At 43.3% G+C, this 11,838-nt stretch overlaps 1 pseudogene; it reads left to right on the forward strand.

Moving 5' to 3' along the window:
* HMGN2P22 (high mobility group nucleosomal binding domain 2 pseudogene 22) lies at positions 7,859-8,277 on the forward strand (annotated as a pseudogene).

Consider the following 11,838-nt stretch of genomic DNA (forward strand, 5'->3'; position numbering starts at 1 on the left):
TGTTACATTTAAAATCTGTGATCCTGGCTGGGTGTGGTGGCTCACGCCTGTAATCCCAGCACTTTGAGAGGCTGAGGCAGGCAGATCACTTGAAGTCAGGAGTTTGAGACCAGCCTGGCCAACATGGTGAAAGCCTGTCTCTACTAAAAATACAAAAATTAGCCAGGTGTGGTGCACACCTGTAGTCCCAGCTACTCTGGAGGCTGAGGCAGGAGAATCACTTGAACCTGGAAGGTGGAGGTTGCAGTGAGCTGAGATAGTCACGCCACTGCACTCCAGCCTGGGCACGGAACGAGATTCCATCTCAAAAAAAAAAAAAAATGTGGTCTTGTGTTAATTTGCTAAGAAAAAAGATGTGGAAGACTGAGGTTTTCTTGCATGTCTCAGATAAACTTTAGGAGAGAACTGGAAGTAGAAAGTATTTGAAAAGATAAAGACATTTTCCAGAATTGATGCAAGCCACCAATTCACAGATTTGGAAACTTACACACATCCCAAGTGAGTTAAATAAAATAAATCCATACCTCCATATATATTGAAGCTGCAGGATATCAGGCAGTGACAAAAGTCAGACCACCTATGAGATAGTAACGATGAGGCTTACTGACTTCCCAACAGCAGGAAGGAAAGCCAGAAGACAGTGGAATAGTGTCATCAATGGCTTAAGGGAAAAAGCAGCTCTTAACCCAAAGTTGTTTATAGCCAGTGAAGCTGTATTGTAGGGATGAACTAGAATGAACTAGGTGAAATAGACATTTCAGACATAGAATAGATGTGTTTGTCACCAATGGACACTCACTAAAGGAAAGTTAAGGAATTTGCTGCCAAGAGTGGTGGCTCACACCTGTAATCTCAGCACTTTGGGAGGCCGAGGTGGGCAGATCACCTGAGGTCAGGAGTTCCCAAGAGCAGCCTGGCCAACCTGGTGAAACCTCATCTCCACTAAAAGTACAAAAATTAGCCGGATGTGGTGGTGGGCACCTGTAATCCCAGCTACTTGCAAGGCTGAGGCAGGAGAATCGCTTGAACCCGGGAGGCGGAGGTTGCAGTGAGCTGAGATCGTGCCACTGCACTCCAGCCTGGGAGACAAGAATGAAGTTCCGTCCAAAAAAAAAAAGGGAATTTGCTTTGTGCAGAAAGATGATGAGCTGATGTAAGGTCTAAGGTTCAAGAAAGCATGTTGGCCAAAAAAGGGGAATGGAAATCTTAATGAACATTGACTTCACATAGTAATGCAAAGTCTGTCTTCTTTGGGACATAAAGAACAAAATACAACTAAAAAACAGGACAAAAGAGTACACAAGCTGAAGGAGGATAAACTGGAGTTCAAGCATTCTTAGACCTTTACAAAGTATTCAAGAGTTTGGCAAACTTATGCATGTTAAAAATATTTTTTTCAAGGTAACAGTAAAAGAAAAAAAATTGAGTGTATAACTTTGAAAGTAATGGGGGAAAAAATCTCAGTTAATTCAAAAGAAGACCAGATGGAAGAATAAAAAGAAACAGAAAAGCAGGTCTTAGAAAGTCCAAAATAAGATTTTAGAAGGAAATCTAAAACAGTAATCACAGTAAACATAAATAGATAACACTCTTAATAGTCTTACCATACGATCCAGCAATCATGCTCCTAGGTATTTACCCAACTACTTGAAAACTTAAGTTCACACAAAACCTGCACACAAATGTTTATAGCATCTTTATTCATTATCGCTCAAAACTGGAAACAATCAAAACATTCATCAATAGATGAATGTATAAACACACTGTGGTATATCAGGACAATGGTATCTGCTTCAAAAGGAAATGCGCTATCAAACCACACACACACACACAAAACGGATGCTAAGTGAAATGAGCCAGTCTGAAAGGGGATGTGGATATTTATCTCCTGATCCTCATGATGAAACTTGACCCCAGTGTTGGAAGTGGGGTCTAATAGGAGGAATTTAAGTCATGGGGGTGGATCCCTCATGGATAGATTAATACCCTCTGATATGGTCTGGATCTGTGTCCTGCCCAGATCCCATGATGTTCAATTGTAATCTTCAGTGTTGGAGTTGGGGACTGGTAGGAGGTGGTTGTATCATGAGGGTGGATTTCTCATGAATGGTTTAGCACTATCCCCCTTGGTACTGTCCTCACAATTGATAGTGAGGGAGTTCTTGTAAGATCTGATTGTTTAAAAGTGCATAGCACCTCTCTCTTCACTCTCTCTCTTGCTTCTGCTCCCACCACGTGAGGCACCTCACTCCCCCTTTGCCTTCTGCCATGACTGGAAGCTTCCTAAGGCCTCCCCAGAAGCAGATGCCAGCATCATGCTTCCTGTACAGCCTGCAGAACTGAACTATGAGCCAATTAAATCTCTTTTCTTTATAAATTACCCAGTCTCAGGTATTTCTTTATAGCAACATGAGAACAGACTAACACACCCTCCCTGGAAGGGAAGGGGGTATGCACAATGGAATGAGTACTCACTCTGTTAATTTCCGTGACAGCTGGTTGTTAAAAAGAGCCTGGCACCTCCCTCCCCTCTCTCTCGCCATGCGATCTTTGTACATTGGTTCCTTTCACCTTTCACCATGAGTGGAAGCAGGCCGAAGCCCTCACCAGAAGCAGATGCTGGTGCCATGCTTCTTGTATAGCCTGTAGAACTGTGGGCCAAATAAACCTCTTCATAAATTACCCAGCCTCTGGTATTTCTTTCTAGCAACACTAAATGGACTAAGACATAACATTCTGGAAAAGGCAAAACTGTAGATACAGTAAAAAGATCAGTGATCACCAGGGGTTCAGGGGAGAGTGGAAGGGTTGAATAAGTAAAGCACATGGCACTTTTAGGGAGTCAAACTATTCTGAATGATACAATAATGGTGGAGAGATGGTAATAGGGGTTCGTCAAAACTCATAGAACTTCATGGCACAAAGAGTGAATCTTAATATATGCAAATTTCAAAAAATCTTTAGAGGGTTTGGGGAATGCCTGGATGAAATGCAGAATGGGGCAAGACAATCTAACTGCATTACAAATGTATGAAACAGCCTCACAGAAGGGGGCTGGGGGAAATGTGCTAACCTAAGCAGCACTGGAAATGAGTCCATGAGGGGAAGGGCAAAAGAAGCTGTACACAAGCCCTGTCTCTAGTTGATAAAGTCATTTATCACATGGGTGTGAATTAACAGTTGTAACACTGCTATACATATAAAGAGAATCGAACAGTTAAATACATAGATGGCAGATGGTGGGAGCCAGGTTTCTCACTGTTATCATGAGAGGTTACAGATAAGTGGGGGGCAAAGGTGAGTGTAAGTGAGAATAATCCATGTGGTAATAGATTAGAGTTGGAGTCATCACTATGAACTCCTGTTTAGGTTTTGTCTTTTTTTTGAGACAGAGTCTCGCTCTGTCGCCTAGGCTGGAGTGCAGCGGAGTGATCTCAACTCACTGCAACCTCCACCTCCTGGTTCAAGCGATTCTCCTGCCCCAGCCTCCCGAGTAGCTGGGATTACAGGTGCCCACCACCACGCCCAGCTAATTTTTGTATTTTTAGTAGAGACAGGGTTTCACCGTGTTGGCCAGGCTGGTCTCGAACCCCTGATTTCAAGTGATCCACCTGCCTCTGCCTCTCAAAGTGCTGGGATTATGGGCATGAGCCACCGTGCCTGGCCACTCCTGTTTAGTTTAATATAGATACAGATGCTTATGAACAGAAATATTTAGGTAATGTATATGCATTGGGTAGTATACACACGCACATTTCCTTGCTCTGTCAGTTGAGGGAGGCTGAAAGAGGAATGACACCCCAGTAGCAAAGAACATACCTGCCACTTAGATCTTGATTTTTCTCCAAAAAAGGAACCAATGCTCTTTGAAGAAATGGCTGATTCTAAAACTGAAGCAGGAAATATACAGGATAAGCCTGGAGCATCTTGTAATTCCAGAACACAAAAAACTGCTGAACAAACAAACACAAAACCACAATGATGAGAGTACGTCAGAGGTCCAGGAGCCAACTGACAGATCTCCCAATAGCTAAAGCCGGAACAATTTGGGCAATATAATAAATATTGGATTATAACCCAAAATATAAAGTACATATCTATGAGTTCATACTGATAAAAAAATGATTGAATAAATAAGTTGCCAGGCGCGTGGCTCACACCTGTAATCCCAACACTTTGGGAGGCTAAGGCGGGAGGATCACCTGAGGTCAGGATTTCAAGACAAGCCTGGCCAATATGGTGAAACCCCATCTCTACTAAAAATACAAAAATTAGCCAGGCATGGTGGCAAGCACCTGTAATCCCAGCTACTCAGGAGACTGAGGCAGGAGAATTGCTTGAGCCCCGGAGGTGGAGGTTGCAGTGAGCCGGGATCACGCCTTTGCACTCCAGCCTGGGTGACAAGAGCGAAACTTCAGCTAAACAAACAAACAAACAAACAAAAAACACAAAGAAACCCATATATATGTATACACACACACACACACACACACACATATATATATATATGAATGGAAATAAATAAATAAATAAATAAGTGGAGGAGAAGAGACCATCGCCCAGGCAGCATTCCAAATAACGTAGAGATACTCTACTTAAGATATTCCACTCTTTAAGGGTGGGTTGTCCATAGCAACTTCCTTCCAAAGTGTACAATATGAAAAGGGAGGTGGGAAGAGTACCTTTTTTTTTTCTTTTTTTTGAGTTGGAGTCTTGCTGTGTTGCTCAGGCTGGAGTGCAGTGGCTCGATCTCGGCTCACTGCAACCTCTGCCTCCTGGGTTCAAGTGATTCTTCTGCTTCAGCCTCCCCAGTAGCTGGGATTACAGGTACCCAACAATAATTTTTTTATTTTTTTATTTTTAGTAGAGATGGGGTTTTGCCATGTTGGCCAGGCTGGTCTGGAACTCCTTACCTCAAATGATCCACCCATCTCAGCCTCCCAAATTTCTGGGATTACAGGCGTGAGCCACCGCGCCTGGCTGGGAAGAGTATCTTTATAGTGTAGAAACCTAACACTATCTCAGCTGGGTGATCAAGGTCAAAATCAACAGTGATGAGTCATACTGGTAGTACAGACCCTGGGTATGATGTAATGAAAATGACGCTTTACTTCTTTGGTCTTCCTCCAAAAAACCAAACCACAATTAAGACAAAAACATCTGACAAGTCCAAATTGAAGAACATTCTACAGAATAGCTGACTAGAAAAACTATCAACGTCATCAAAAACAAGGAAAATCTGAGAAACTTTTATAGCCAAGAGGTGCCTAAGAAGACCTGACTAGTAAATGGAATATGGTGTCCTGGATAAGGTCCTAGAACAGAAAAAGTGCATCAGTCAGAAACAACAGAACTCTGAAAGCAGATAGACTTTAGTTACTAATTATGTATCAATACTGATTCATTAATTGTAACAGGTGTACGATGCTCATGTAAGATGTTAAGAGGAGAGAAAACTGGTGCAGGATATATGAGCACTCACTGTACTAGCTTCTGAATTTTTCTGCAAATCTAAAACTATACTAAAAAAATTAAATTTATTTTAAAATATGGCAGTTCATGAATCACATCAAAATGGAAATTGTGCCAGGCACGGTGGCTCACCCCTGTAATCCCAGCACTTTGGGAGGCTGAGGTAGGCGGATCACTTGAGGTCAGGAGTTCAAGACCAGCCTGGCCAACATGGTGAAACCCTGTCTCTACTAAAAATACAAAAAATAGCCAGGTACGGCGGAATACACCTGTAATCCCAGCTACTTGGGAGATTGAGTTAGGATAATTGCTTGAATCCAGGCGGCGGAGGTTGCAATGAAGTGAGATCACACCTCTGCACTCCAGCCTGGCTGACAAAGAGAGACTCTGTCTCAAAAAAAAAAAAAAAAAAAGGAAATTGTAATCCTGTAAGAAAGGTGGTACTCAGTTCTTGATTGTCATGTGTCTATAGTAAAGTGCCAGAACTAAAGGGACACATAGGTGTTAGTTTGGGTCTGCCCAGATGCAGAGCCTGAGCGGGGACTTGGGTACAGTTTGTTCGAGAGGAGATCCAAAGATGCAGGCATGTGGTTGGGTGTGGTGGCTCACGCCTGTAACCCCAGCATTTTGAGAGGCTAAGGCAGGCGGATGACCTGAGGTCAGAAATTCTAGACGAGCCTGGCCAACATAGAGTGAAATTCCGTCTCTACTAAAAAGTACAAAAATTATCTGGGTGTGGTGGTGCACATCCGTAGTTTCAGCTACTTGGGAAGCTGAGGCAGGAGAATCCCTTGAACCCGGAAGGTGCAGGTTGCAGTGAGCCAAGTTTGTGCCACTGCACTCCAGCCTGAGTAACAGAGCAAGACTCCGTCTCTCAAAACAAAACAAAACAGAAAAAACAAAGATGAAGGCATGAGAGCTTTGAGAGACAGAGGCAGGGAAAGGGAAAAGCTGACAGAAGGGTGGGAATGTGAGGTCAGGGCTGGTGGCAGCGGAAACTCAATCCCTTTGAAACCTCTAAGAAGCATGTAGATGACCTCCCAGAGTTGTCCACCCACAGAGAGGATCTTGCTTTATCACCCAACCCTGGCCTCCACCACTTGAGGGTGCCCCAGGGGAGTGAACTGCCCTCCACTTCCGGGCTGTCCTTACGCAAAGGCTGAGCAACTGTCTGTGTGCCTTGGAGAAGGACTTCACAGATGACCCAGTGTGGATGCTGGTGGTGCAGCATGAGTCTGAACTTGCACAGAGTTTGGTTCTATTTTTTTTTTTTCCCAAGCCAAACTGTATGCAGCTTTATTAAAGATACTTTCCATAAACAATCATGGTATTTCAGGCAGGACATGGGCAGACAATCGTTAACAGTATACAACAACTTTCAAACTCTCTTCTTCAATGGACTACCAGAAATCAGAAAGCCACTATAAAACCCAATGAAGTCTTCATCTCATGCTCTGAATAGGGAAAGTTTGGAGTGAGGGTTGACATTTCACATTTAGCATGTTGTTTAACAACTTTTCACAAGCCGACCCTGACTTTCAGAAAGTGAAATGAAAATGGTAGAATTTATCTGAAGATCCACAATCTAGAAATGGAACCACTGCTCTTTTGACAGGTGCCATCTCAGTGGCATCACTGGAAAGTCCAGATTGCCTGACACACTGGTAACCAATGATTGAGGGTCAGGTCCCAGCAGATGTCTGGGTTTAAGGGAGTTAATTTTCTGCTGAAAGATGGAAAGGGAGAAGAGGACATAAAAACGAATTTGTTTTCCATACCACAAGGCTTTTGTGCCAAGGTGGTCATGTGTGTCAAAGTCAGGGAATCCCTCCTCCTGGGAGCCAAGAGGAAGTCTCTCAAAACTGGAAGGGAAAGGTGTTTTCCCCACATCGATCCAGCTTCGGAGACTTTCTATTAGTGACACATGCCCCGTCCTCCCAAAACAACAATGAAGTGTTCTGTGTTCTAACAACATAGCTTAAAAAAAAAAAGTAAAACAAAATTCTGCATTTTTATAAAACATGGTAAAAAATAGTATTTCAAACTGTACAGTCACCAGAAGTACATAGTTATCAAAAATGCACACACATGGGCTGGGCACGGTGGCTCACGCCTGTAATCCCAGCACTTTGGGAGGCCGAGGCGGGCGGATCACGAGGTCAGGAGATCGAGACCATCTTGGCTAACACGGTGAAACCCCGTCTCTACTAAAAATACAAAAAATTAGCCGGGCGCGGTGGCGGGTGCCTGTAGTTCCAGCTACTCAGGAGGCTGAGGCAGGAGAATGGTGTGAACCCGGGAGGCGGAGCTTGCAGTGAGCCGAGATTGCGCCACTGCACTCCAGCCTGGGCGACAGAGCGAGACTCCATCTCAAAAAAAAAAAAAAAAAAATGCACACACTTCACTTGGCCTCTCCAGCACCTTCAGCTTTCTGTGCCTGCTCTGTCTTGGCATCTCCACTTTCTGCAGGGTTATTCCCCTCCTTGGCAGCATCAGCTTTTCCCTTTTTCCCTTGGGTACCTTCTCTTTCTTCTTTGCAGAGGCCTTTTTAGGCTTGGGCTCTGGCTTTGGAGGAGCAGGTTTAGCAGACAACCTCGCAGATCTTCTCTGTGGTTCGTCCTTCACCTTGGGTTTGTCTCCTTTAGCATCCCCTTCAGCTTTTCTCTTGGGCATGGTGGTATCGGCAGCGACGGTGGCAGGACGTAGGCGCTGGGCGTGGGATGCAGCGGCCCGTGGGCTTGGTCGGTCGGGGGGGGTCGTTCTCGCCTCTTCTTCTTCACCCTGCTCCCTTGGTTCTATTTTATATGTTTAAAAGATCTTGCTTGGACAAAATGGAATGTAGATTTTTGTTACATATCCCTCTTGTGCATACATTTTTTAAAAGGTAAAATACAGGCATAAGAGAGATATTGCAGGCTCAGTTCCAGACTCAATATTGCAATAAAGCAAGTCACACAAAGTTTCAGTTTTCTCAGTATGTATGACAAATATGTTTACATTATATGATTACTGTAGACTATTAAGTGTGTGTAAAAAAAGTACATACCCTAATTAAAAAACGCGTTATTGATTAAAAAATGCTAACAAACATCTTGCCTTCAGCAAGTTGTAATATTTTTGCTGGTAGATGGTCTTGCCTCAATTTGTGTGTATGTGTGGTGTGGTGGGGGGGGGGCGGACAGAATCTTGCTCTGTCACCCAGGTTGTAGTTCAGTGGCACGATTTCAGCTCACTGCAACCTCAACTTCCCAGGCTCAAGCGATTCTCCCACCTTATCCTCCCAAGTAGCTGGGACTACAGGTGTGCACCACCATGACTGGCTATTTTTTTTTTTAATGTATTTTTTGTAGTCATGGGGTTTTGCCATTTTGGCCAGGCTGGTCTTGAACTCCTGGCCTCAGGCAATCTGACCACCTCGGCCTTTCAAAATGCTGGGATTACAGGCATGAGCCACTGCACCCAGCCCTTGCCTCACTGTTAATGGCTGCTGACTGATCAGGGTGGTGGTTGCTGAAAGTTGTGGTGGCTGGGGCAATTTCTTAAAACAGAGAACAGTGAAGTTTTCCTCATTGATTCCTTTCATGATAGATTTCTCTGTAGCATGAAAGGCTGTTTGATAGAATTTTATCCACAGTAGAACTTGTTCAAAATTGGAGTCAATCCTCTCAAACCCTGCTGCTGCTTATCAAGTACATTTATGGAATATTCAACAGTGGAATGTGTCATTTCAACAATGCTCACAGCATCTTCACCAGGAGTACATTCCATCTCTCAAGAAACCACTTTCTTGGCTCATCCATAAAAAGCAACTTCCTGTTTGTTAAAGTTTTATCACGAGATTGTAGCAATTCAGTCCCATCTTCAGGCTCCACTTCTAACTCTAGCTCTCTTACTGTTTCCACCACATCTGCAGTGACTTCCTCTTCTGAATTCTTGAACCCCCCCTCAAAGTCATCCAGGAGGATTGGTATCAACTTTTTTCAAACTCCTGTTGATGTTGGTGTTTTGACCTCCTCCCATCAATCACGAATGTCCTCATGGCATTTAGAATGATGAATCTGGCTAGGCATGGTGGCTCACGTCTGTAATCCCAGCACTTTGGGAGGCTGAGGCAGGCAGATCACTTGAGGTCAGGAGTTTGAGACCAGCTTGGCCAACATGGTGAAACCCCATCTCTACTAAAAATACAAAAACTAGCCGGGCATGGTGGTGTAAGCTTGTAATCCCAGCTACTCACAAGGCTGAGGCAGGAAAATTGGTTGAACCCTGGAGGTGGAGGTTGCAGTGAGCTGAGATCACACCACTGCACTCCAGCCTGGGTGACAAAGAGAGATTCTGTATCCATATATATATATATATATATATATATATACACACACACACACACACACACACACACACATATACACACACACACATATATATGTGTATATATATATATGTAGAATGACGAATCCTTTCCAGAAAGTTTTCAATTTACTTTGCCCAGACGCATCAGAGGAAACACTATCTATGGCAACTATAGCCTTATGAAATAAGTGTCTTAAATGATAAGACTTGAAACTCAGAATTGCTCCTTGACCCCTGTGCTGCAGAATGGATGTTGTGTTAGCAGGCATGAAACGGCATTCATCTCCTTGTGCATCTCCTTCAGAGCTCTTTGGTAACAAGTGCATTGTCAACAAGCAGTAATACTTAGAAAGGAATCTTTTTATCCTGAGCAATAGGCCTCCAAATATTTTGTAAACTATGCTGTAAACAGATATGCTATTATCTGGGCTTTGGTTTTCCATTTATAGAGCACAAGCAGAGTACATTTAACCTAATTCTTAAGGGCCCCAGGATTTCTGGAATGGTCAATGAGCATTGGTTTCAACTTAAAGTCAGTAGCTGCATTAGCTCCTAACAAGAGAATTTGTCTCCAAATAAAAGAGTATGTCCTTTGGAGTTCGAAGCAAGGCGTTGACCTCCCCTCTTTAGCTATGCAAGTCCTAGATAGTGTCTTCTTCCTACAGAAGGCTGTTTCATGTACACTGAAAATCTGTTGTGTAATGTGACCACCTTCATCAATGACCTTAGCTAGATCTTCTGGATAGCTCGCTGTAGCTTCCACATCAGCACTTGCTGCTTTACCTTGCACTTTTGTGTTATGGAGATGGCTTATTTATTTATTTATTCATTTATTTACTTAAGACAGAGTTTCACTCTGTGTCCCAGGCTGGAGTGCAGTGGTATGATCTCGGCTCACTGCAACCTCTGCTTCCTGGGTTCAAGTGATTCTCCTGCCTCAGCCTCCAGAGTAGCTGGGATTATAGGTGCCTGCCACCACACCCAGCTAATTTTGTATTATTAGTAGAGACGGGGTTTCTCCATGTTGGTCAGGCTGATCTCAAACTCCTGACCTCAAGTGATCCACTCACCTAGGCCTCCCAAAGTGCTGGGATTACAGGTGCGAGCCACCATGCCCAGCTGAGATGGCTTCTTTCCTTAAACTTCACGAACCAACTTCTGCTACCTTCAAACATTTCTTTTGCAGCTTTCTCACCTCTCAGACTTCAAAGAATTAAAGACAGTTACAGCCTTCCTGTGGATTAGGCTTTGATTTAAAGAAATGTTGTGGCTAGTTTGATTTTCTATCCAGACCACTAAAACTTTCTCCATATCAGCAATAAGACTATTTGCTTTCTTATCCATCATGTGTTCACTGGAGTAGCACTTTTAATTTCCTTCAATAACTTATCCTTTGCATTTACTAATTGGCTAACTGTTTGGTGCAAGAGGCCTAGCTTTGAGCCTATCTCATCTTTTGTCATGCCTTTCTCACAAAGCTTAATCATTTCTAAATTGTGATTTAAAGAGAGATGTCCAATGCTTCCTTTCACTTGAACACTTACAGGTCATTGTAGAGTTACCAATTAGCCTAATTTCAATATTGCTGTGTCTCAGGCAATAGGGAGGCTGAAGGAGAGGGAGAGAGATAGGGAAACAGCCCATCTGTGATGCAGCCAGAACACACAACATGTATCGAGTAAGTTTGTTTATCTTGTGTAGGTGTGGTTTGTGGCGCCCCAAACAATTGCAACAGTAACATCAAAGATCACTGATCAGATCATCCTAGCAGATATAATAATAATGAAAAAGTTGGTAATATTGCAAGAACTATCAAAATGTGACAGAGACATGAAGTGAGCACATGCTGTTGGAAAAATGGCACTGATAGGCTTGCCTGATGCAGGTTTGCTCCAACCCTTCAATTTGTAAAAAACAGTGTATGTAACGTGCAATAACATGAGGTCTTCCTGTAAGTTGGTAAAGGTATTCCTAAAAATGTCCTTCCATTCAGAGTCCAGCTCTAGTGTCTTTTCT

This window comes from Homo sapiens, chromosome 2 (assembly GCF_000001405.40).
Source record: "Homo sapiens chromosome 2, GRCh38.p14 Primary Assembly".
In the NCBI taxonomy this organism is placed as follows: domain Eukaryota; kingdom Metazoa; phylum Chordata; class Mammalia; order Primates; family Hominidae; genus Homo; species Homo sapiens.